General features: G+C 46.3%; 2 protein-coding genes across 2 annotated transcripts, besides 2 other annotated features; both read right to left on the reverse strand.

Annotated features, from left to right (window-relative positions):
* Positions 5,240-9,278, reverse strand: KRT37 (keratin 37). Its single transcript, NM_003770.5, has 7 exons — positions 8,725-9,278; positions 8,455-8,537; positions 7,471-7,627; positions 6,966-7,127; positions 6,762-6,887; positions 6,060-6,280; positions 5,240-5,679 (listed from the first exon to the last, which is right to left on the reverse strand). The coding sequence occupies exons 1-7, from the start codon at positions 9,214-9,216 to the stop codon at positions 5,571-5,573; spliced, it is 1,350 nt and encodes a 449-aa protein (NP_003761.3). The 5' UTR covers positions 9,217-9,278; the 3' UTR covers positions 5,240-5,570.
* Positions 5,810-6,104: a silencer, noted in NCBI's record as "tiled region #10866; HepG2 Repressive DNase matched - State 8:EnhW, and K562 Repressive non-DNase unmatched - State 21:Repr". NCBI's record gives its function as "represses a minimal TATA promoter and a strong SV40 promoter by Sharpr-MPRA in HepG2 and K562 cells {active_cell/tissue: HepG2 | K562}" and the evidence as "EXISTENCE:reporter gene assay evidence [ECO:0000049][PMID:27701403]".
* On the reverse strand, positions 20,847-25,676 carry KRT38 (keratin 38). The gene is made up of 7 exons (NM_006771.4): positions 25,123-25,676; positions 24,854-24,936; positions 23,896-24,052; positions 23,390-23,551; positions 23,184-23,309; positions 22,786-23,006; positions 20,847-22,234 (listed from the first exon to the last, which is right to left on the reverse strand). Exons 1-7 carry the CDS (start codon positions 25,612-25,614, stop codon positions 22,105-22,107), a joined length of 1,371 nt encoding a protein of 456 aa, NP_006762.3. The 5' UTR covers positions 25,615-25,676; the 3' UTR covers positions 20,847-22,104.
* Positions 25,332-25,832: an enhancer, noted in NCBI's record as "H3K4me1 hESC enhancer chr17:39596891-39597391 (GRCh37/hg19 assembly coordinates)". NCBI's record gives its function as "activates a minimal SCP1, AML or CMV promoter by ChIP-STARR-seq in primed H9 embryonic stem cells {active_cell/tissue: H9 hESC(primed)}" and the evidence as "EXISTENCE:reporter gene assay evidence [ECO:0000049][PMID:30033119]".

The raw sequence follows: 26,323 nt of genomic DNA on the forward strand, positions 1-26,323 counted from the left end.
ACAGTTTCTGATTCAAGCGGTCTGGGGTCAGGCCAGGGAGTCTGCATTTCTAACAAGTTCCCACATGACACTGATGCTGCTGGTCTGGGGACCACCCTTGGAAGACGGAATCACTGCTCCATAGCAATAGACAAGTTTTGTGGTGACTTCATCCTAGGTGAATGAAGCACCAGGTCACAAAACAGGATTTGATGAATTCAAGAGGAGCCAGTGTTTGGATTACTGTACTTCAAATCAGTTAGCATGCAGTTTTCTCCAATGTAATAAGCAAGTTCTGTTTGTTTTCCTAGTTTGCTCTTCTTTGCTGAGGTTTGTTTTAGGAGGATATCTAGGATGAAGGAGAGAGGAGAGACAAAAAGGAAAATATGCACACTGTGTTGCTTATGCCTGTGGGGAAGAGGCCAGTCCACGCGAAAAACAATGTTCATAAAGGACAGATAAAGGTCACATGAAGTAATATCTATTGACATCTATTATGTGAAGGGAACCGAGCTTGGCACTTGGTATACAATATTTTACTTAATTCTCTCTCACACATTCACAAATCTATACACGCAAATTAGATAGACACCTACTATGTGCGGCCTACTGTGTTATTATTTGACCACCTACTATGTGCCACCAAGTATTATACCATATGCTTCCCATATAGTTGTGTCTTTTCATCCTTATAACCACACTACAAAGCAGTTACAAGTATCCCACTGTAGAGTAAAGAAAACAAAGCTCAGAGCAGTTAGGGATGTTGTCTGAACTCACCAAGTTGGAATGAAAAGTATGGGCCTTGAAATGTCAGCCCAGGTCTGCCTGACCCTGAAGCCCAAGTTCTTTCTGCTCTGCCCAGTGACCCAGAAAGGGCCAGATAGTGGACTCTGGACTGAACACAAGGCCAACACTCCTAGACGCCAGCTGTCCAACTGGATTTATTCAACAAATAGCTATGAAGTTCCTGCTCTGGGCCACACAACTTGCCTGAAGAGCTAGAAACAGAACAGAGTCCTCTGGAGGTTTTTGAGCAGATGAAAGAGAGAATCAAAGGAGAAATTTTAGAAAATTAATCCAGTGCCTGTCAACCTAAAATAATCAAAAGGCTCAGGATCTGGTTAAAAAGAGTTTTTTCAAGCATGGCATGTGAGAGCCGTCTTCTGGGGACACACGAACACCGAAGAATGGCAATCAGTACTCCCAGTGCAGGGGGAAAATGAAGATCACTTATATAGGCAAAAATAGAGGTGCTGAACAGAATTACGACGTTTTCCACACAAAGGCTAGTGTACAGATGTAAGATCTGATTGACCGCTATTGATTACACTCTCATGGGGTTGCTTAACATTCTATTGTAAAAAGGTAGCAGTCACAAGGGCCTCCTTCTCCAATGTCATTTACTCTAGGTTTGAATACAGACAAGGGAGTCTGGTTACTATGCAACATGTCAACACACAAGTCAGGAAGCAACTGTCTTTGCAGGAGAGAAGAAGAACAGCTATATCGCATGACCCAGTTTCCAAGGCTTAATTTTTCACTTCGGCATAATAAATTTAGAAAGCCCTGACATTTCATTTTCTTTTTTGTTTGTTTATTTGTTTTGTTTTTGTTGTTGTTATTGTTTTAGACGGAGTCTCGCTCTGTCGCCCAGGCTGGAGTGCAGTGGCGTGATCTCAGCTCACTACAACCTCCGCCTCCCGGGTTCAAGTGATTCTCCTGCCTCCGCCTCTGGCGTAGTTGGGATTACAGGCATGTGCCACCATGCTTGGCTGATTTTGTATTTTTAGTAGAGACGAGGTTTCACCATGTTGGTCAGGCTGGTCTCAAACTCCTGACCTCAGATGATCCACCTGCCTCGGCCTCCCAAAGTGCTAGGATTACACGCGTGAACCACTGCGCCCGGCCCCATTTTCCTTTTACCACTGCCCAGTGTGCACCCTGGAGTGGGAACACTCCATCTTCATTTCGTATGCTCTCTAGCATGCAATACAGTGCCTTGTACATAATATTTACTCAATAAATAGAACACAAAAGAGTGAAGGGCTGGTGGTGTGTGCAGAACAAACCTGGCACAGAAGAGAGCAGGAGGAGGCTCTTACAAGAATCCAGGCAGGATGTGATGGAACCCAAAACCAGCCACCAGCAGTGCTGAAGTAAAGGAAGGCACAAAGGACATAGATGCTGCAGAAGGACTCTACAAGACAGGGAGAATTACTGTATATGGGGTCAAAGGAGGAAGAGAAACCGAAAGTGGCCCCAAGGTCACCCCCAAGTTCCTAGGACAATTGTGTGCTTCAAGGGAGCTGAGAAGTCAAAGGAAAGAGCTGGCTAGAGCGGGAGAAGCTGCATTCAAGTTTGGAGAGGATGAGTGTGAAATATAGCTACCTGGGACTGGCCACTAGGGGGTCACAGACAAAGGCCTGGGGCCAGGGCAGAGCAGCCTGGGTCACTGAGAAACCCTCCTCCTCAGAAGCTAAAACGTATTACACCTGGCAGGCAGGTAAAGCAGGTAAGCTTAGCCCAGGGGCTCATACTTGAATAGGAACGGTGATTCTAACTGGGAGAGTCTGTGTATCACCCCCTAGCCCCAGTGGGGAGGTGATGTTTGGAATATCTAAAACAGATGGCAGGGAAGTTATTTTAGTTAGAGGAAGTGTCATTTGAAAACAAGCATAACCTGTATTTGAAATGAGCTGTCTTTTAGTCATGATACGAGTTTGGTATTTACATTTTTGAAAGTTAAAACATTAAGTGAGAAGGCAAGATATCTTTACATTTATTAAGTGGGAAGGCATGGTTATGAAACACTGAATTAGGTAGAAAAAAGATACATTAAAAATGGTTTAATTTAAACAGGCTGAGAACTTCATGAGCTTCAAGCTGAGCTCATGAAGATTATAAGTGGCCATGAGAACAGATGAAATTGATTTTGTTCTTGGTCAGGAAGACAAAGAGAAGATGCTGGGGGGAAGGAGGGGAGGGTGGGGCACACACCATCAGCCTTAGGTATCACATATCATCGTCTACAAAAAAACTATCCAAATAAAAAATGCTCCTGTTCAGGAAAGTCCAGAAATTCACTTCAATCTTCTTGGCTTCCCAGTGTAGACAGTGGTGGGAGCAGGAGTGGGCCCTTCCCCAGAGCTCTCTCGGTGACTGCAGTGTCCACCCCAGCAGCCTGTAGCTGTTTACCCTTTCTCCTTTCCACTTTGCTGGAATTTGTGAGAAATGGCATTTGGTGTCAAAAAATACATAAGTGCATGGGCCTCATGAGCCGCAACTGATGTTACCACGTGAAGGCTGGGAAGAAATATCACACATCAGCCCACAGGCAGTGCAGGATTGGTGAACTGAAGAGGGACGGGCTAAGCACTAGGTGGCTCAGAACCAGATGTGGCCCCCAGCCAAGGGAGCAGAAGCCTCAGGAGAAGGAAAATAAGAGACACCTGGTTGCAGTTATTGTGGCCAAAGCAAAGCCTATTGTGCCACATTCAGGGCTATATCCATCCAGTCGGTGAGAGTATGTGAGGCAGAGAGGCCAGGGACAGGCACAGAATGTCCAGGCGGGAGAATCACTTGCAAGAAAAGATGTCTGGGATTTGGTACCAGAGGGAGCCCTAAGCTCTCAGGCTAGGATAACGAATGTGAGTAAAACCCCAGGGTCCAGGTGTCCTGACTGCACTGGTTACCCACCTGCCAGCCTCTAGCCTTCATTTTCTATGTACCTGAGTGGCACCTCCTGTCACACCTAGCCATGGGACCTCATAGGTAGAGCTTGTTAAGGGTGTGACCTGGCCAAGAAAGGTGGGGACAGGTCGGATCTCCACAACCCCATCACACTGAGGGTCAGGGAGGGTCATGGCCACTTCTTAAAACATGACTCTTGTGGGTTCCTCATTAGAAGAGCCCACCAAACAGTCTTGTCCTCTGACAGCCCAATGAATGCTTTTTTGGATTCAGTTAGGCTACTTGGAGTGAGAAACAGGCCTAATGACAACAGAAGATGGCTTTTATTATTGCATGTACATGAACAAGGAATATGGCCAAACTTTCCAGCCACCAACGTAGAATCTAGGGCCCCGATGCTGAGAGTGGGTTCTGCTACTATCTCTTCAGCTCCTTTTTCTCTCTGGGAGGAAGAGATTGTACCTGCTGGTTCCTAGGGAGCCCCAATAAACCAATATCCACTGAACACCTTCTAGATGCCAGGAACATTAGATGCATTACCCCTCAACCACAGTGAGAGGGAAATACAACTATCCTACTTCCACAAACAAGGAATAGGTCTCAAGAGAATGCAGTGACCTGGCCAACTTCACTCAGCAAGGTGGGTTCAAATCCCACTTCAGAGTCACCAAGGTGGGATTTGAACCCAAGTTTCCCTGACCCTAGAGAAGATCCACCTCCACCACACTATGCCACCATGAAGAAGGACCAGTTTTTCATTGCTCTTTGCACCAGGGCACATGGACAAGCTGAGACCCAAGAGTTTCATTCTTCTGGACACACTTGGTGCTTGCCGTAAACTGACTAGCATGGCGTGGGAGGCAGCAGCCTCTCTGGGCTGCTCCTCCACCTGCTTATAACTGCATCTGGCTGTGAACCACCTTGGCCAGTGCCAAAGCCACATCTGAGAGGCAGGCAGGGACTTGGAGTGCTCTGATGGCAGCGGCAGCCCTCACCGCCAGCACCTCCAAGACAGCAGCAGAATAGACAACAGAAACATCAGTGGCAGCATCTCTCTAGAGAAAACTAAAGCCTAGAAGTGCCCCAGGACCAAGACCCCAGTCTCCAGTGCCCAATCTGGGCCTCTGCATTTGGGAGAGTGGGCGAGAATTCCATGGCTCCATGAAAGGGGCCAACTGGAGTGAGAGGAAAAACTTGGCAACTTGGCTCAGACAATTCTCAACACGACCTTCCTTTGACGATATTAGAATGCTAAGTGATGTGATTTTGCTCTTGGACAAAATAACAAGAGGCTGAAGATGCCAAAAGCATGGTAGGGACATGTTAGCTCTGAGCTGTTCTGAAAGAATTCAAACTTGGCAACTGGCATCACTTCCTTCCACCAGTCTATAGGGATCCCTGGGAAAGGTGAATACACATCCAACATCAGGAAGGGACCTTCATCCAGAGGCCCCAGAGCACCCCAGGGAGCTCCTGGAAGCAAGATGTCAGAGCCAGTGAGGACACAGGACCTGACGACCAGGACTCTCCGACATCTCACATACAACCAACACCGGGGAGACAGCACTTGGTGCAGGAAGGAGGTTTATTGACCATTTAATGCAGGGAACCCAGTTACATTTTTGGAGATTCTGAAACACTGGAATAGAACTAAAAGTACCAAGAAGAGACACCAGGAAAAATAATTGCTTTCATGGAAGATAATTACAACATTTTAGCAACAACAAAAAATACAGCTTAGAGGCATAGGCAGGGAGCCACTCCTTGGAAGTATCTGCTACCGGTTGATTTAGGGAAAATGCCTCAGTGAGTCTAGTCTTGAAGGAAGACTGGGCAAGGTGAGGGCACTCCTGACCCCAGTGCAACCAGCCTCAATCTCCTAACTCGGGCCTTCAGAATCATCTCCCCATGCTGGCTCCATGGCCAGAGGGAGACCCACCGGTGACAGGGCCACAGCTTGGACAAGAAGTACAGGAGGCAGGCGTGGAACAGGGATTGCAGGGGAGTCTGCAGGGAGAGAAAGAAGAGTTACATTAAAAAGATGTCTCAGTGATTGATGGACAAGGGTAAGATCAGGGTGAAGGCTGGGCCTGCCACCAACAAGGCACACAGACCAGAGAATCTATACCAACAGTTCTCTCATCTGTGTCTTTCTACATCCAGGAATCCTTGGGGAAGATTTGGCTTAGGGACCTGGCTATCATTTAGAGAACATTTTCTCAATAATCCAGTCTGCACAGACCAGGAGAGGTTAATGAGTCACTGAGCAAGAGAGCACAGGAAGGCTTGTTTGTTAAGATGATATCTTCTGCAAGCACTTCCATTACCTCTGAGGAATTGCCTGACAGTCATGTGTGTGGCTTAGGAATTGCCCAGATCACACGTACTTGCAGTCCTCGCTCTCCAGAAGGTTCCGGTATGTGGCAATCTCGTTCTCCAACCGGGCCTTCACGTCCAGCAGCACCTGGTACTCCTGGTTCTGCCGCTCCAGGTCGGCCCGGATCTCAGACAACTGCTCTTCCAAGTTGCTAATGAGGCTCTGCATCTGGGCCAGCTCTGTGCCGTAGCGGTCCTCCGCTTCACACAGGGAGTTCTGCAGACAGTCCTTCTGTAATGGGAAATAATGGGGTAAGAGATCCAGGTGCCCCAAAACTCAGCAGTGAAAATCATGACCAAACTCATCACACATAGGGCAAATTCCAAAATGTCATAGGACATTCTCAGAGCTCTGGAGAAATCACTGTCAACATGACCATGACTTCTCTCTCATGCACACAAATCTAACTTAAGGAACTGTCATGTTCATCCCTGTATCCCCAGTGCTTGACAAAAAGCAGGCACCTCGTAAAATCTTGTGGAGTGAGTGCCTGAACTTCCGCACTGTGTTGTAAAGGAAGTGGACTTGATTTTCTGAAGAAACCATTTCCCTGGGTCACACTGAACTTGACAGCAAGACGTCTCCATCGGGTATAGAGGACCCCAGATCTTGACTTAATGTTGAAGGAACTGATTTGTGAGACTTTAAGAGATGCTACTACCAGGACATGGCATGGGGCATTTGCAGTGCAGTGAGGGTGAAGGACACGTACCAAGGTGTGCTGGGCTTGGCGCTCCACCTCCAGGGCATTCACCGTGCATCTCAGCTCCAGGATCTCCGACTGGCAGCACTGCAGCTCCTCGGAGCAGGACATGGCCTGCAGGCTGATGCCTTCAGACTGGAGCACAGAGAAACACAGTCACCTCCCTGCTCAGATGGAGGCCAGGTACTCCCTGGCTCTGTAACCCCCACTCACCTGGGCTTGGAACCACTGTTCCACATCCTGGTGGTTGGTCTCCACCATGGCCTCGTACTGAGCCCGCATCTCCCCCAACACCCTGTTCAGGTCAATGGTGGGCTCAATGTCCAGCTCGATCCGGAACTTCTCCCCCAGCTGACTCCTCAGAATCTTTACTTCCTGCAGAAATGGAAGCGATAGACAGCCTGCGTAAGGAAACGGCCTTTGATGGAGCAGACAGCACCAGGACTCCGTCCCTGGCAAGCAGTAGGAGGGGAGTCCCACACATAAGCAAATGGGAAAGTCTTGTCCAGAGTGCATTTGGGAGAGCCCACCTGGACACCTTCCTCATGCCCAAGGCAAGTCTGCACTTTCCACAGAGGCCCTCTGGACCCTCAGACCCACCTCAGCCCTGCATCCTTAGGCCAGCTGAGCCCAGGCAATGCTCTGAGAGCCCCAGGGCCGGGGAGCTCCCCTGTCTGCCCAGCGCCCTCCCCAGGAGTCTGAGCAGCCAGGGCCACACCTGCTCGTGGTTGCTCTTGAGGGAGAGCTGCTCCTCCTTCAGGGACTCCTGCTGGGCCTCCAGGTCGGCCTTGGCCAGGGTCGCGTCATCCAGGAGCTTCTGCGTCCCGCACTTGTCCGCCTCCACCAGCTGGTGAAGGGAGCGCTCACTCTCCAGCCTTCCGTCACAGGAGGCACAGGGTCAAAAAGAATGCCCCAATAGCCCCTCTCAGCTGCCCTGGCTTCCTACCTCCCACACCACCTTGGATCCTTATTTGTTCACGTGGGCAGTATACACTATTCTCAACCCTGCAGCGACACGGTTTGTAGTCAGGACATTATGCCCATTGACCAGATGGAAGACTGAGGCTCAGAAACAAAACACGAGTTGTTCAGAATTCCATGCCCAGTTAATAGTAAATGCATGGACTCATCCTAAGTGTTCTGACTTCAAATGCAGCATTTATTCTGCCATAATAGGAGTCATTTGGCCAGGAAAAAGAATGGCTAAAAATAAGCCTCTGGACCTTCAGTTTGCTGCTTTTCCTCTTGGATTCATTATTTCTCGTTGTTTTCTTGCTTTTCCCCTTCATTCAAGCACAACTCTAGCTACCAAGGAGCTTCAATGACAATTCCTCCAGCTGATGGATTTGGCCAAGAGTCAGAGAGTCTAGCAACAACCTATGCATTGACAGTTTATTTTTGTGATGACTCAATTTTACTTCTGATTGAAAAGCAAAATCCTCTTATCTTCTAGATATGGGAGAAAGTGACATAGGTTCTAACCAATCTAGACTACAGCCCTTCTTTTTCTTTCAATGCTTATATTCTCTTTCCTCCTATATAATGACCATTTCTAGCAACAGGCTAATTTAAGGTGTGGAGAGAAATATTCTTCTAGTCAAAAACTGTTTTTGAACACCTACAATATAGACTGAGTAATGGGGCGGGCCCTTGGAAATACAGCAGGAGAGAAGTCACACTGACCCTCCTCATCCTGACTTACTTGATCCTAAAGTCATCAGCAGCCAGCTTCGCGTTGTCAATTTGTACAATCAGCCTGGCATTCTCAGCCTTGCTGCACAGGATCTGAGGAAAACGGAAAGACGGTTCACACACAAAGCACCATACTCTAAGCTCCCACTCCATGTGTGGTATTTACGCTCATGTCCAAGAGAAACCAAGAACCCAAAGCTCTCTGGACCTTATGCAGATTCCTCCTGCGAAGGCTTCTGCCTTCTCAGACCCAGCATGCCCAGGCGATCCCACACCTCACCTTCTGCTGGAGCTCCTCGATTGTACGGAAGTAGGACTGGTAGTCGGGGCACACGGTGGACTCGTGGCACTTGCTCCTCTCGAGGAGTGTGGTCTCCAGCTCTGCATTCTCCTGCTCCAGCTGGCGCACCTTCTCCAGGTAGTTGGCCAGGCGGTCATTCAGGAACTTCATGGTCTCCTTCTCATGGCCATTCAGGGTGTTTTTGCCGTAGGCCCCACAGATTCCGATGTTGCCGGGAATGTGACAGGTCCCTGGCAAGGGACAAGCAGTGTGACTGGTTGGGGGCAGACAGAGGCTGGGGCGGCCCAGGGGAGTCGACCCCACACGGACTCTGTTGGCGTGTGCCACGTTGGCCAAGAGGCACATGGAGGCAGCATTGGCCTCTGCCACAGGCTGGCACCCAACATCGATAGGAGAGACAAAGACATTTCTTGCTCCAGGAGCCATGGTGCAACCCAGAGGGCATGAGGAGGTGCTGTAGAAGGAGGTCATGGTGTAGGGCTGAGGCTGCACAGGAGCTTCAGATCAGCTGGGAAGGCTGAGCCACTGAGACTGAAGCCTCCTCTCCTCCCAACCCTTTTATACCCCATCCTGGGCGGGTGTTGGCTCCAGTGCTTTGACCTCCTGCCTTGATTATCTACCTGTTGTGGTGCCATCATCCTGTTACTCAGCTGCTGAGTTTACCATGAGAAGTTCCTCAGCTCATTAAAGCAATGTTGACAAATCTGAGATGCCTCTTGGCTCTTCCATATCAGGTTAGCTGTTGGTGGGAAGTCAGAGACTCACTGTTTCTGCTCAACAAACACCAGCAGTTGATTCAGGCCCCAATTGCTCTCTCTGGACTATGGTCTCTGTGGATGTGGTCACAATGAAGGCTCAAATCTTTCCGTCAGTAATTTGTGTAGCAGGAGACACAGAGAACCAATGGGACCCACTGGATCTTTCGCCTGTGCAAGACTGAATCAGCCTTTCCTTTGAAGAGAAAATATCAGTTAATAAAACCAATGCATCTACTGATATTTGACGATTGAGAGGCGCCTTTTTTTCTTTCTTCTTTCACATTGCATACTCCCTTGAGAAGCAATAACATCTGGAAGCAATGGCGCTAATTAAGTTTTGGTTGACTAGTCAGAATCAGCTATTCATTCATTTGTTCATTCATTCATTGGTTCAGCATGCTTCCTGAATATCCCCCATAACTCAGGCAGTGTGCTGGTTCCTGGACACGCAATGTTCCCTGTTCATCAGGAGTAAACAATGCCTCTGAAATCTCTGGATGTTCTACACAAACTTGAATGAGAACCATAGATCAACAAGAGTTAGTGAAAGACAGAGGATCTATAGTTCTGGCCAAGGAAGTATCTAGAAAGAAATCACTAACAAAGAAAAATCTTATTTGATCCAGGAAAGGGAGATTGGGCACAGAGCTCAAGCAGTATTCAAATGAAAGGTCCAGAACTAACATTGATTGAGTACTTAGGTGTGCTAGGCATTCTACTGTGTTCTTTCCTATCTAACCCTTACCACCTATGAGGTGGTTACTCATTGCCTCAATGTACAGATGAGAAAACTAGAGTGAAGTACATTTGCACATTTTCTGATTGACAGTTAGTGAACTGGCAAAGGCTCGATTCAGTCTCATGTCTGCTAGGCCCATTCTCTTTTCACTTCATCATGGCCCCCGGTGAGAACAACGGTGTCATTGCCCCGTCAGTGCTGGGCCTAAGGAGAGGGCAAGAAGGGGCTTAGTTACTGGATGAGAAATTGTGGTGAAAAGAAAATTACTGAAGGTCTTTGTGTTCCAGCAAAGGAAAAGATTTAAATACTATGGCAGTGACAACAAGAAAATGCACTTTAAAAAGTTAAACTAGGCCGGGCGCGGTGGCTCACGCCTGTAATCCCTGTACTTTGGGAGGCCAAGGCAGGCGGATCACCTGAGGTCAGGAGTTCGAGACCAGCATGAACAACATGGAGAAAACCGGTCTCTACTAAAAATATAAAATTAGCCGGGCATGGTGGTACATGCCTGTAATCCCAGCTACTCAGGAGGCTGAGGAGGAGAATTGCTTGAACCCGGGAGGCGGAGGTTTCCGTGAGCCAAGATTGCGCCATTGCACTCCAGCCTGAGCAACAAGATTGACACTTTGTCTCAAAAAAGAAAAAAAAAGTTACGCTAGTTTGTAACATATGCATCATTTAAGACAGGGTGCGTCCTGAGAAATGCGTCGTTAAGAGATTTCTTCACTGTGGAAACATTATAGGGGGAACTCACACAAACCTAGATGGTAGAGCCTACTACACACCTAGACTGTATAGCACAGCCTATAGCACCTGGCTACAAACCTGTACAGCATGTTGCTGTACTGAGTATCATAGGCAACTATTATTAACACGATAATATTTGTGTATCTAAACATAGAAAAGGTAATGCATTGCACTACGACATTATAACCACTTCCACATCACTAGAGAATAGGAATTTTCAGCATCATTATAATCTTGTGGGACCACCGCCCGTATATGTGGTCTGTCGTTGACAGAAACATTCTGACTGTATATCCCAAATCCCAGAGATTTCCAGTAGAGCTGGAAAACAAGTCAACCAATGGGGGTGTGGCCAGGAGTCATCCCTCCCAAGTGGTAGAGGGAAACCAGAAGGACCATGGGACAAGCTCTAAAAGAGTATAAATAAACTCTTTAAAAAAAAAAAAATCCCAATTAGTGGGAAAGTAAATGGCTGATACTAGTAGCAAAACCTTAAGTCTTTGAAATTGACATACTGGAAATGAGCCATTATTAAGATTTTAAATGAAAATAATAGGATTTAGACATAAAATAGGAAGCAAAATACAGTAAACAGAAATCGTGTAGCCAAATATGCATCAAATATGCATTCCCTTCAGCTACACTTTTTTCCTCTGAAATACAAGTTTTAGAAAATCTTAGAAGAGGGGTGGGCGCAGGACTTAATGCTGGGAAGCAACAACTTTGGGGCTGAATTTACTTGAATGGATTACAAATTGCATTGTTACACAGCTAAAAAAAACTTTATGTATGAAAAATGATAATAGCCTTACACTGAGTACAAATAATACTTAAAAGCATGTGAAGATGTGAGCATCTGTGATGTTACTTATAAAAAAAAAGTTTAGGTTTTTTTCCGTAAGTTATTGGGGTACAGGTGGTATTTTTTCCATAAGTGGTGGGGTTTTTTTCCATAAGTATTGGGGCACAGGTGGGTTACGTGAGTAAGTTCTTTGGTGGTGATTTGTGAGATTTTGGTGCACCCATCAGCCAAGCAGTATACACTGCATCCTATTTGTAGTCTTTTATCCCTCACCCGCTCCCTTCCCCCGAAGTCCTCAAAGTCCATTGTATCATTCTTATGCCTTTGCATCCTCATAGCTTAGCTCCCACATATCAGTGACAATATATGATGTTTGGTTTTCCATTCCTGAGTTACTTCACTTAGAATAATAGTCTCCAATCTCATCCAGGTCACTACAAGTGCCATTAATTCATCCTTTTTATGGCTGAGTAGTATTTCATCATATATATGTACCACAGTTTCTTTTTTTTTTTTTTTGAGATAGAGCTTCACTCTTGTAACCCAGGCTGGAGTGCAGTGGCACCATCTCGGCTCACTGCAACCTCCACCTCCCAGGTTCAAGAGATTCTCCTGCCTCAGCTTCCCGAGTAGCTGGGATTACAGGTGCCACCACCATGCCCAGCTAATTTTTGTATTTTTAGTAAAGAAGGTGTTTCGCCATGTTGGCCAGGCTGGTCTTGAACTCCTGACCTCAGGTGATCCACCCGCCTTGGCCTCCCAAAGTGCTGGGATTACAGGTGTGAGCCACTGTGCCCAGCCCACAGTGTCTTTATCCACTCACTGATGGATGGGCATTTGGGTTGGTTCTGTGATTTTGCAATTGTGAATTGTGCTGCTACAAATGTGTGTGTGCAAGTATCTTTTTAGCATAATGACTTCTTTTCCTCTGAGTAGATACCCAGTAGTGGGATTGTTGGATCAAATGATAGTTCTACTTTTAGTTCTTTAAGGAATCTCCACACTGTTTTCCATAGTGGCTGTACTAGTTTACGTTCCCACCAGCCATGTAGAAGTGTCCCCTGATCACCACATCCACTCCAACATCTATTGTTTTTTTATTTTTTTGATTATGGCCATTCTTGCAGGAGCAAGGTCGTATCGCATTGTGATTTCGATTTGCATTTCCCTGATCATTAGTGATGTTGAGCATTTTTTTAAAGTTTATATATGTATCTTTTGAAGTATTGAAAGGAAACTAGTACTTTATATTCTTTATCATATCATGTTTTATAATTGTTGAATATGTTCCTGTTTATTTTTCTCTGTCCTGTTGTGTAGCCTTAAGAAGTGTTTCAAAAAAAAAACCAAACATATCTGAATGTATAAAATAAGAGTAAATGCCCTACAAGTTATGATGCCACATTATACATAAAACTGTGTGCATATATTTTTAAACAGCATAAATACATCTTTGCTCTGAGAAAAAGTTGAACATGCATCCCCGTGAAAACCACAAGGGAGTCAGGGGATGATGGTGTTGATGAAACCTGGGCTCTTGGAATTCTCTCAAGGAGAAATAAGGGGTCTGGAATTCTTCCCAAGAGGAAAACCCACTGTGGGTCAGCTGTGGCTCCAGCGGCCCTGAGGTCAGCTATGACTCATTCTTTACTGGGGCAATCCTTAGAGGGCCTCTCCCTGCCAGGCCATCCCTCAGAGGCCTCTGGGTGCAATCTGCATTTTCCATCTTCAAAGACCCCTTTGTTCCTATCTTCCGCCTCAACACATAGCATCACTATAATCCAGAGAATTGAAGCATTAAAATTCTTCCCTTTGATTTGCTAAATAGGAACCCTCTCTTGACCCTATCCTCTGGCAGGATTTTATCCCATTGGCTAAAATCATGGTTCCTTCTGTCTCAGAACATATGACACTTGTTAATTCTTAAGCATCACAGCTGAAGCTTTGCATCCTTTGCGTCCTGACACACCTCTCCAAAGCTTGATATGTGTCTCTGGCTTGGGCTCTGCATGGTCCATTTTGCATAATGACATAGACACTGCCTAGTCCTTCGTACAGCAGAGGGCTCTTCTGATTTTCTTTGGTCTCAAAGGAACAGGCAGTAGGTGGAAGGCATGAGGCAGGTGTCTGGGATGTACTCAGCTGTGTAGGTGGGAAGGAGCCCATCCTTGACATTGCAGATGATCAGATGAGCCTCCTCTTCCTCCCTTTTTTTTTTTTTTTTGAGACAGAGTCTCGCCCTATTACCCAGGCTGCAGTGCAATGCAATGCAATGGCATGATCTCGGCTCACTACGACCTCCACCTCCCGGGTTCAAACGATTCTCCTGCCTCAGCCTCCTTAGTAGCTGGGATTACAGGCACCCGCCACCACACCCAGCTAATTTTTGTATTTTTAGTAGAGATGGGGTTTCACCATGTTGGCCAGACTGGTCTTGAACTCCTGACCTCGTGATCCACCCACCTCAGCCTCCCAAAGTGCTGGGATTACAGGCATGAGCCACCGTGCCCGGCCCTCTTGCTCCTCTTTAAAAAGAGTTTCTGGCCCCTGAAAATAAACATATATTCCAAGTTGCATGAAGGGAGGTATCAGAGATGAAGAGAGAAGACAGAGGTAGTCCTGCAGCCCTCCTTCCTTCACAGGGGCCACCTCTTCTCTCTTGAGGATTAAAAGATTTTGAGCTGTAATCTCTCTTCAGGCAGAGGGGAAACACTGGGTTCAGAACAGCATCACTTGGTGCCACGGTGCAGACGCATCTCTGAGTCTGACCGTTCTGACGCATCTCTGAGTGAGACAGAAGCAGAGGCACTGGGCGGTCCACAGGGTGTGAGTCTAATCTGCAACCACCTGCTCCAGCTGCAGAGGAAAAATTCTGAAGACACCTAAGGAAACAGGAGCTGCCCACACACTGCATCCTGATGTGAATTACGCCAGGAAAACATCTGCAAACCACGACCAGCAGTGTGTCCTGATACCACTGTGCCTGCAAGGCTCTCAGACATGCTGGGTGAAAACAGAGTCTGAGGAAGGATAACCCAAAACACCTTTATCATTTCAAAAGTCCACCTCAGAAGGCTTTGAAAAAAAAAAAAAAGTCACCGTTTTCTTTTCTATTAAATAGGATTTTAAAATCTAGTTACTTGGGAAACTTTGGTTTGATTTTAAGTATTTTTAAATTATTATTCTGCTTTATTCTTTTTTTGTTTTTCTTTTCTTTTTAGATGGAGTTTTGCTCTTGTTGCCCAAGCTGGAGAGCAGTGGTCTGATCTTGGCTCACTGCAACCTCCGTCTCCTGGATTCAAGAGATTCTCCTGCCTCCGCCTCCTGAATAGCTGGGATTACAGGCGTACGCCACCACGTCCGGCTAATTTTTTGTATTTTTAGCAGAGATGGAGTTTCACCATGTTAGCCAGGCTGGTCTCCGACTCCTGACCTCAGGTGATCCACCCACCTCGGCCTCCCAAAGTGCTGGGATTACAGGAGTGAGCCACAGCGCCCTGCCTAGTTTGCTTTATTCTTATCCCAGGTCTTAAGGTCATCAGAGACTAAATACTGAAAAAGTTATCTTCATTTCCCCTCCCCTTTGTTCCCTGATCCTAGAGTTTCTTTATCTACATGCTAAGGCAGGAAATTTCCCCTTATTTACCTCATACCAAGACCTATTACAAAATCCTTTAATGCAGCATAGTAGAGGTTTAAGACAATGAATTTTGGATCCAGCCTGCCTGGGTTCAGATTCTGGTTCTATCATTTATTAGCTGTGTGAACTTGGGCTGGTGACTTGACCTCTCTGTGCCTCAAATTCTGCTTATGCACAATGGAGTGACAATAGCACCTAGCTAATGGATTTAAGTTTTAAAAAAATCCATACCTGTAAATCACGTAAAATAGTGTCTAGCACAGAGTACATGGTAAGCACTAAATAAGTGTTGTGTTTTTTAATGGATTTTACTGTTACTGGTGTGTTTACATGCTTACACCATTCATAATTCAAAAATGCTTATTAAATTACTTATTTTTTACTTATTTAAGTTAGCAAAGATCAGAAGTTTAGTCTTACTAAAAAGCTTTTGCACAGCAAAAGAAACAACAGAGTGAAAATACAACCTACTGAATGGGAGAAAGAATTGTAAATCATATATCTGATAAAGGGTTAGCCTCCAAAATATATAAGGAAGTCCTACAACTCAACTGTAAAAAATAATTTTTTTTAATTTAAAAATGGGCTAAGGATTTCTATAGACATTTCTCTAAAGTAGACGTACAAACGGCCATCAGGTATATGAAAAAATGCTCAAAGTCACTAGCCATAAGGGAAATGCAGATCAAAGCCATGAGACATCACTTCACACCACTCAGGATGGCTACTATCAAAAAAAAAAAAAGACAACTAGTATTGGTGAGGATATAGAGGAGCTGGAACCATTGCACGCTGTTGGGAAAATGCAAAATGACGCAGCCACTATGGAAAACAGTATGGAGATTCCTCAAAGAATTAAAAATAGAATTACCATATGAGCCAACAATCTCACTTCAGGGTATTTATCCAAAAGAATTGAAATTGGGATCTCAAAGAGATGTTAACACTCCTGTGGTCATTGCAGCAGGAGTCACAATAGCCAGAATGTGGAAACTACCTAAATGTCCGTTGACAGATAAATACAAAAAGAAATTGGTATGTGCAAACACTGGAATTCCATTCAGCCTTTAAAAAGGACGAAATTCTGCAATACGCAACGTGAATAAACCTCGAAGACGTTATGCTAAATAAAATAAGCCAATCACAGAAAGACAAATACTGCATGATTCTGCTTATATGAGGTATCTAAAATAGATTCAACCCTGAAGACATTATGCTAAATGAAATAAGCCGATCACAGAAAGACAAATACTGCATAATTCTGCTTATACAAGGTATTTAAAATAGGCAAATTCATAGAATCAAAGAGTGGAATGGTGGTTTCCAGAGGCTGTGGGAAAAGGGGAAATGGAAAGTTACTGTTCAATGAACATAAAGTTCCAGTCAAGCAAGATGTGTAAGGCCTAGAGATCTACTGTACTGCATTGTACCCAGAGTCCATAGTAATTTATTGTACACCTAAAATTTTATTAAGAGGGTAGCTCTCATGTTAGGTGTTCTTTCTATGATAAAGTAAAATAAAACAAAATAGATTAATGTCATGATTGTAGCAAAATAAAGAAAACATGCACTTTCATACACTGTTGAGGGGAAGAATAAGTTGTGCAACCTCTTTACAAAATAGTTCAGCAGTATCTGTTAAAATTACAAATGCTTTTTTTTTTTTTTTTTTGAGACGGAATCTCACTATATTGCCAGGCTAGGATGCAGTGGCATGATCTCAGCTCACTGCAACCTCCACCTCCCGGGTTCAAGCAATTCTCCTGCCTCAGCCTCCTGAGTAGCTAGGACTACAAGCACATGCCACCATGCCCAGCTAATTTTTGTGTTTTTTGTAGAGACGAGGTTTCACCATGTTGGCCTGGATGGTCTCGATCTCCTGACCTCATGATCCACCCGCCTCGGCCTCCCAAAGTGCTGGGATAACAGGTGTGAGCCACCATGCCCACATATACACTATCGACCAATAATTTCCGCCTATAGGAATTTAATCCTATAGACATACTTACATAGACAGAAGTATAAGGATAAAAAATATAAGGGTACCCTATAGAAGTCCTTGGGGTGTTAGGCCAGGAGCCATCTCTGCTGTTTTGTGCCTCCTTCAGCCTATGGATTTCCCCTCAATGTCCCCTCAATCCATTCCTCTGTGTCTCTCAGGGGACCATTTCCTATGGGTGTTAAGCTGTGGATGATCATGGGGCAAAGGTGCAGTTAGTAGAAAGGAGAAAAGCATAATCATGGGAACTTGAAGAGTGAATGATTTAGGAATTAGGGAAAATAATAAATTCTGAATAAGTCATTGTAGAACTATTTATTTGGCCCACTTCATGAATTACGTGCAGTAAAATAGGGAAATACTGACAACCCTGTTTCATTTTCTTCATTAAAAATACAATAGTATTGTGGCTGGGCCTGGTGGCTCACACTTGTAATCCCAGCAGTTTGGGAGGCTGAGGCAGGCAGATCACCTGTCAGGTGTTCAAAACAAGCCTGGCCAACATGTAGCAGTAGTAGTAGTAGCAAAACCCCATCTCTACTAAAATACAAAAGTTAGCTCAGCATGGTGGCACATGCCTGTAGTCCCAGCTACTCTGGAGGTTGAGGCAGGAGAATTGCTGGAACTCGGGAAGTGGAGGTTACAGTGAGCCGAGGTAGCGTTGCTGCACTCCAACCTAAGCAACAGAGAAATACTCCATCTCAAAAAAAAAAAAATCCAGTAGTATTGAATACTCTGATTTTGAAAGGTGATTTTATATTTCTCAGCTCAAGAGATGCCTTCAAGGGGAAGCTTTCTCCAGCTTCACTGAGCATTCAATCAATTCCTCTTCTCTCTACTCACATTGACCCTTAGTTTACCTTGATGTAACCCTCTTCATTCTGTTGTTAGTGTTCTTGAAAGTCCCTTGGAAGCAGGAATTTTGTCTTACTGCTTTTGTCTTGTTCATCTCTGTAATTCCCAGTACATCACCTGACATAACAAAGCACTCAATCGATAAAAACAGAAGTGACTAAATGAGCTCAGCTCTGGAGCAAGTCATACTCAGTATTATCCTCCACAGTATCACGTGCATGGTGATTCTCAGTAACTGTGTGCTGAGGGAATGCCTGCATGCGTACATGAATAGACATAGTATAAAGCCAAACCATAGCATGTTGCACCAATGATACAAAATCCCTGACTTCTAAACTCCGTGGTGCTAAATCAAGTCAGAATTAAGGCAAGACTTGTTTTCATCTAAAAATATATTTATATGAAAAGTCCTACAGAGCATTCAAAGGTAGATCACATTTAACTTTGCATTTAACCCATGTCCTTTTATGAAAAGAAGAGAATTATATAAATTGGCTGTCTGGCTGCCTTAAAGCCCACAGCTGCCTCATCCCACCACTCGTGCAGGCAATCTCTGGAAAGAGAAGAGCGAGCTCATTTACTTTTACATCACTGGGAAGAGCTCTTCTCTGCTAATGACATACTCTGCCTTCAAGAGCCAGTGTTTAACCCTTCTCAGACACTGATATTGACCCTTGAAATGTTCAACACAGACAAAGCACTTAGCAATAGTTGGGTAGCAACGAGCTCAGGATAAGGTAGCTGGTTCAGGAAACTGACTTTTATAACTGTCCTTCTATAAGTCTTGTGCTAAACAAACCCACGTCTGTCTCCTTTCCAAATCACACTGTGTCGGTGACCCTGAGAAACATGGGCATCCGAGGCTCACATTGCAGGATCTCCCTTTAAAAGGCAGCTCAGAGCCACTTGAAGAAACACAGATGAGATACTCATGTGATGTGATACAGTAAGAGTTGATTTGCAGCCAGAGCTCAAATCAACTGGGTCCAAGGGTCTGGGTCTGGGTCCAAGTCCTGGCTCAAACACTTGCTGAATGCATATCTTCTGTCAAGTTATTTAACCTCTGTGAGCTTCATCTTTTAGAAGCGGTTATGATGTCTGCCCTACAAGAGTGCTGTAGTGCGGCACTCTGTTCTCAGAGGGAGGAGACGGCCTTTAACACCAGGCAGGAGGAAACCACTGCTATATACAACTCCATTTGAAAATCATGCAGTTACTTTCAAATGTTTATTTTAACAATCAAAGAGAAAGAAAGCAAAAGCAGGCTCCAGGTGATGTAGATGCTGCTGTTCATAGTAAGGCAAGAAATCTTTATACCAGAATTGCGGTCAAATTCCTCGTTAAAGTGTGAGAGGAGCAAAAAAAATAAAAATAAATCTACCAAGGTACAGTCAGGAGGCTGAGGCTGGCCTGAAGCAGGAGACTCTTCCCTAAAAAGTAGCATCTCCAAGGAGCACATCAACACAACAGGTCCCATGTTCATTTGCTTATCTTCTCAGAAAAAGTCACCCCTGTAGAGGGAGTTTTCTAGCTCAGATCATGAAGGAGAAAAAAAAAAGCCAGTTTCCTGAAAGATTCCTGTTCTTGCTTCATAACATAGCCTAGTCAATTACCTTCAGACAAAATGGCTTGGTAGCATGAAAGGGTCTTCCAGAAGGACACACCTTACCACCAGACCCACATTTAGCACTGCAAGCTGAAGCCCCCAAATGCAACCAGACAGTTCCTTCCCTAGGAAAAGGAGGCTGGCTTGAACCATGCCTTTACTCTGACATCAGCGGTCCATGTCACTTCTCCATTTCCCCAGTTGCTTTTTCTCCGATGAAGCTACAAGACGTGAGGAGTGAGGCTAAACTTCAAGCTATTTTTCCAATGAAAAATAGCTGGTAATCGCATTCAGAAATCAGGACCACAAATGGGCCTAATCTGCATTCCCCCCAAGTCTCCAAATTGAAGTTCTGCAGGGATCATAATGGCCCTTGGAATTACTGAGTGCCTCACAAGACCGAGGTGTGTTCTCCCATCACTTTAACCCTGGTGAACCCAAAGGGGAAAATGGAAACAAGACCACCCATGAAAGTGGGTCCTCTCTCCTTGGATGGACTCAATAGAAAGGAGTTCTGCCCCTCAAAGCAAAGTTTTCTCATTGTTTGGCCTAATGCAAATACTCAAATACAGTTTGCTCTAGGAAGCAAGTTGTTATGTGCACCATTTTGTTTCTGATTAAATTTAGATGCTAGAGGAAATTTATTTACCTGCCCATAAGAAGAAGCCTGAGGTCACGGGTGGCCCTTAAACTTGGCCATGTGGGTCAGCCCCTGCACTCCTTAAACATTATACAATCAGTACTGGCTCCGGGTGAGGTTTCCTTGTGTGCTTTCTCCTTTTCAGGGTATTTTTATTTCTGTTATCTTAGAATCCATGACAGATCTGGGATATAAGTATGAACAATAACATTATCCCTATTTTATCTCAGGAAAAAAAATGCTGAGGCTTAGGCATGTGAAGTGATGATTCAAAAACCCCACAACAAGTCAGAGATAAAGTCAGGACTAGACGTGTTCGTTCTTTCAACAGATATTTATTAAGCATCTATTATGTACCAAGCAGTGGGCTAGGCTCTGGGGATGCAGCAATGAACAATTGTTAATCTTGGGTAAGCATTTTGATTGGGAAAACAACAGATACAGAGGCAAGTTCAGCTGTTGGAGGTGCTAATGAGCAGGACAGAGTGCCAGGGTTGTGAGTCCTTTAGGCTGGTGGCCAAGCAGGAGCTCTCAGAGGAAGGAACATTTCCGCTGACCTGAACATTTATAAGGAGGGGGAAGAGCACCCCAGAGAGAAGGAAGAGCAGGGACAGGTCTCCAGGCATGTCCAAGGAACAGAAAGGCCAGTGTGGCTGAATCATGGTAAGGAAGGTAGAGAGTATGAAGAGAAGAGGTGGAAGCACATCATACTTAGCAAATCTCTACCCATTGAATCAATAGGTTTCAATACTTCAGGAGAAAGTACTAGAAAAAAATGAAGTCATTGTTTAGATTTTAGACTGGGAGAATTAGACAGGGACAGGGGTTATAGCCAGACAAGTCTGGAGAGTCAGAATTTATAGAGAAAAAAGAGAGAAATTTCTTAATCTGAAAGTTCCTTTCACATAGCAAGAAGCTATGGAAGCCATATGTAAGAGGCTGTGTTGCCACAGAAAAGGCAAGCCTGGTCCTTTGTCAAAGCTAGAAACCCTGAAGTAGAGAAAACTCAGGATTTGATACAAGGAAAGTTTCCACTTAATCAGTTTCCAAGATAGGGAGGCAGGAGGATAGGAGAAGGGAATTAGAAAAGACAGGGTCAGGTACAATTCTGATTCTATTTCCCTCTCCCTAGGGCCATAATCCAGGCTGCCAATGTTAGAAACAACCCAAGAAATGTGGGAAATCTCAGACAGTGAAGTCTGTTCTTCACTTCCTTTGTCATAAACTATAAAAATTTCAAGTTAAAGTTGGTGTTCTTGAAGTGCAAGTGCAATTTTAAATCATGCCGTGTTCCTACTCCAAAATGCTTTTCAACCTTATGCCTCTCCAATCCAGATATTCTGAGCCACCATGGGTGGCTGCAATCCAGCCACTGAGGGCATAGAGCTCACCTGGGAAAACCAAGAGCAGGAAAGGAAGGATTTCCATCAAGATTCCACTGTCCCTGGTATCTCATAGCCTTTGGACAGGCCTATACATACAGAAAGTTAGAAGCCAGATTTTCTAAAGGTATAACAAGCATCTCTCTTTGGGTATCCCTCGCCTTAGCCAGCCCCTGTGGGTCCACAGGAATTCAGAATCGGCTTCCGGTGGTGCTGGCTCCACAGGTGGGCCCACAGGTGGTGCAGGGGCCACAGCTTGGGCGAGGAGCACAGGGGGCAGTCACGCAGGAGGGAGACGTGGAGCACGGATTGCAGGGGAGTCTGCAGAGAGACAAGGTGAGGGAAGTGAGAGGCAAGAAATGAATGGGGTCTCAGTGCCATGTGGGGGCATGAGGAAGGAGTCCCCACTGCAAAACAACAGAACATGGACCCAGCTGGACCCTGTGACCATTAGCACCTAGTGAGCACCTCCAGGGTTAGACTAGACAAGTGGTTTCTAAAATGCCTTCCATGATTAAAGTTATCCTATAGAATAAAAATTCCTAGGAAGAATTTAAGAAAAGAAAACCAAGTCCAAAAATCTGCTGGATCTATGGACATATCTCCTGTTTGAGCAGCGACCCTGTGTCTACTCTCATCAGTCCATGGCTACCCCAAGCAGCCCCGGTGGAGACCTGGTAAATATCCTCTAAGTGCATGGTCATTCCCTTCATTCTGTCAACCACATGGAGTGTGCAGGACAGGGCAACGACTCACTGAAAAGGAGTGCACAGAGAGCCTCATTCTACATAGAGACAGCCCTTCTGCTGCCCTGAGGACCTCATCAGAATTGAGTAAATAATTTGGCCAGGAATTGCCCAGATCACACGTACTTGCAGTCCTCGCTTTCCAGAAGGTTCCGGTACGTGGCAATCTCATTCTCCAGCCGGGTCTTCACGTCCAGCAGCACCTGGTACTCCTGGTTTTGCCGCTCCAGGTCGGCCCGGATCTCAGACAGCTGCTCCTCCACGTTGCTGATGAGGCTCTGCATCTGGGCCAGCTCCGTGCCGAAGCGGTCCTCGGCTTCACACAGGGAGTTCTGCAGACAGTCCTTCTGTAGTGGGAAATAAGGGGATAAAATATACAAGGCCCCAAGGGAAACTGCTACATGCCTCAAATTTTGATGGTGATAACAGGTGGGAGAAACTTGGGTAGTGAGACCTCCAAAATAAAATGCTACTAGGCCATGGCACGGGGCATTTGCAGTGCAGTGAGAGTGAAGGACACGTACCAAGGTGTGCTGGGCTTGGCGCTCCACCTCCAGGGCATTCACCGTGCATCTCAGCTCCAGGATCTCCGACTGGCAGCACTGCAGCTCCTCGGAGCAGGACATGTCCTGCAGGCTGATGCCTTCAGACTGGAGCACAGAGAGACACGGTCACCTCCCTGCCCAGATGGAGGCCAGGTACCCCCTGGTTCTATACCCCCCCCACTCACCTGGGCTTGGAACCACTGTTCCACATCCTGGCGGTTGGTCTCCAACATGGCCTCATACTGAGCCCGCATCTCCCCCAGCACCCTGTTCAGGTCAATGGTGGGCTCAATGTCCAGCTCAATCCGGAGCTTCTCCCCCAGCTGACTCCTCAGAATCTTTACTTCCTGCAGAAGGGAGGAAGGGACAGACAGCCTGCATGAGGAAAGGGCCTTTGATGGAGCAGACAGCACCAGGACCCCGCCCCTGGCAAGCAGTAGGAGGGGAGTCCCACACACAAGCAAATGGGAAAGTCTTGCCCAGAGGGCATTCGGGAGAGCCCACCTGCACACCTTCCTCATGCCCAAGGCAAGTCTGCACTTTCCACAGAGGCCCTCTGGACCCTCAGACCCACCTCAGCCCTGCATCCTGATGCCAGCTGAGGCCAGGCAATGCTCTGAGAGCCCGGGGCTGGGGAGCTCCCCTGTCTGCCCAGTGCCCTCCCCAGGAGTTTGAGCGCCCAGGGCCACACCTGCTCGTGGTTGCTCTTGAGGGAGAGCTGCTCCTCCTTCAGGGACTCCTGCTGGGCCTCCAGGTCGGCCTTGGCCAGGGTCGCATCATCCAGGAGCTTCTGTGTCCCACACTTGTCTGCCTCCACCAGCTGGCGCAGGGAGCGCTCACTCTCCAGCCTTTCATCACAGGAGGTACAGGGTCAAAAAGAATGCCCCCAAGAGCCCCTCTCGGCTGCCCTGGCTTCCTACCTCCCACACCACCTTGGATCCTCATTTATTCACTCTGTTTAGCCCTCTGTCCTCAAAGGTGAATTAGACCCAGCCCCTCTTCTCAAAGAGCTCATGGTCTAATGGAGAAATCACAACACTACATTGCACAATATACATTTTTGCCATTGTATTCTGTGGCAACTGCAGTTCAGGAAGATCAACTGACTTGCGTAAGATCATGCATCTTGGGACCCAGTCCAACGCTCATGCCATTGCAGGGGCTGTCAGTTACCAAAGATAAGCAATAACCAGGTGCCTGATCGTGATCTGCGGCTCCTTATCCCTTGCTTTCAGCTGTCTTCCCCTCTCTCATTTTTGCCTAGGTACCTTATACCTGGTACCTTAGGGCTCCCTAATTAAATCTGGACAAAGACTCATCTGTAAGTGACTCCTCTGACTTATATATGAAACCCAATGGCTGTCTTGCTCAGTTCATCCTTCAAATCACCTCATTTTGCTCCTGGTTAATGAACTCAGGCTGCCTTATCCTCCATTTTAGGGAAATAAATGAAGGAAGACAAACATATATGCTTGGATTAATGAGGAGTTTTCCCTTCCATCTTCCATCAGCTTCGATTGTAATGAAAATTTTACTGTAGAGAATCTAGCAAGGAAGAAATGACAATGATTCCCTCACTCAACAAGTATTTGGGCATTGGGATGGAGGGTGGGGAAGGAGTCACCCTGGCCCTCCTCCGCCTGACTTACTTGATCCTAAAGTCATCGGCAGCCAGCTTGGCATTGTCAATTTGTACAATCAGCCTGGCATTCTCGGCCTTGCTGCACAGGATCTGAGGAGAACAGGAAGACAGTTCACACACAAAGCATCATGCCCTAGGCTCCTTCTCCACGTGTGGTGTCTATGATCATGTCCAAGAGAAACCAAGAACCCAAAGTTCTCTGAGCTTTACATGGATTCCTCCTGTCTTGCCTCTGCCATCTCAGACCCAGCACACCCAAGCGATCCCACACCTCACCTTCTGTTGGAGCTCCTCGATGGTGTGGAAGTAAGACTGGTAGTCGGGGCACACGGTGGACTCGTGGCACTTGCTCCTCTCGAGGAGTGTGGCCTCCAGCTCCGCATTCTCCTGCTCCAGCTGGCGCACCTTCTCCAGGTAGTTGGCCAGGCGGTCATTCAGGAACTGCATGGTCTCCTTCTCATGGCCATTCAGGGTGTTTTCACCATAGGCCCCACAGATTCCAATGTTGCCAGGAATGTGGCAGGTCCCTGGCAAGGGACAAGCAGTGTGGCAGGTAGGCGGCAGACAGAGGCTGGGGCGGCCCAGGGGAGTGGACCCCACACGGACTCGGTTGGCATGTGCCACGTTGGCCAAAAGGCACATGGGGGCAATGTTGGCCTCTGCCCCAGGCTGGCACCCAATGTCGATGGGAGAGACAGAGACATTTCTTGCTCCAGGAGCCATGGTGCAACCCAGAGGGCATGAGGAGCTGCTGTAGGAAGAGGTCATGGTGTTGGGCTGAGGCTGCACAGGAGCTTCAGATCAGCTGGGAAAGCTGAACCACTGAGACTGAAGCCTCCTCTCCTCCCAGCCCTTTTATACCCCATCCTGGGCGGGTGTTGGCTCCAATGCTTTGACCTCCTGCCTTGATTATCTACCTGTTGTGGTGCCATCATCCTGTTACTCAGCTGCTGAGTTTACCATGAAAAGTTTCTCAGCTCGTTAAAGGAATGTTGACGAATCTGAGGCCTCTTGGCTCTTTGAAATCAGGTTGGCTGTTGATGGGAGGTCAGAAGCTTTTTATTATCTTTCAAAGAAGCAAAGTTATAGCCATCAGATGCTTAGACCTTGACTGGGTTTGGCCTCTTTATGGATGTGTCCACTCTGGAGACACAAACTTTCCTGTTGGTCAGTGGTGTAGCAGGAGGACTAACCCCGGTGATGACAATGGTTCTCACTTGGGTTAAGACTCAACCAGCCTTCCCTATCCAGGGAAGAAACTGAGTCTTGGAATTGGTGGATGTTATGGCCTTGGGTTATCAAGAAGTCCTACATTTCTTCTTTCTTTAGTTGGTTGCCTTTCAGACTCACTTTGAGGAGCAACAAGACTTAGATGAATCCAGTCACTCAAAACACATCCCCTGGCTACGTCCCATATGCTACGCACCTTGCTGATGCTTGATATATAGTTGGTTAAGCACAAAATAGTTCCTGCCAT

Source organism: Homo sapiens, chromosome 17 (genome assembly GCF_000001405.40).
Source record: "Homo sapiens chromosome 17, GRCh38.p14 Primary Assembly".
Taxonomy (NCBI): Eukaryota; Metazoa; Chordata; class Mammalia; order Primates; family Hominidae; genus Homo; species Homo sapiens.

Coding starts and splice junctions, on each gene's coding strand:
- KRT37 (NM_003770.5), bottom strand. CDS start 9,216: ATGACCTCCTTCTACAGCACCTCCTCATGCCCTCTGGGTTGCACCATG. Junction 7,628..8,454: donor GCTGATGACTTTAGGATCAA/GTAAGTCAGGAT, acceptor CTGTGACGGAAG/GCTGGAGAGTGAGCGCTCCC. Junction 6,281..6,761: donor GCCAAGCCCAGCACACCTTG/GTACGTGTCCTT, acceptor TTCCCATTACAG/AAGGACTGTCTGCAGAACTC.
- KRT38 (NM_006771.4), bottom strand. CDS start 25,614: ATGACCTCTTCCTACAGCAGCTCCTCATGCCCTCTGGGTTGCACCATG. Junction 24,053..24,853: donor GCCGATGACTTTAGGATCAA/GTAAGTCAGGCG, acceptor CTGTGATGAAAG/GCTGGAGAGTGAGCGCTCCC. Junction 22,235..22,785: donor CTGGAAAGCGAGGACTGCAA/GTACGTGTGATC, acceptor GTCTCTCTGCAG/ACTCCCCTGCAATCCGTGCT.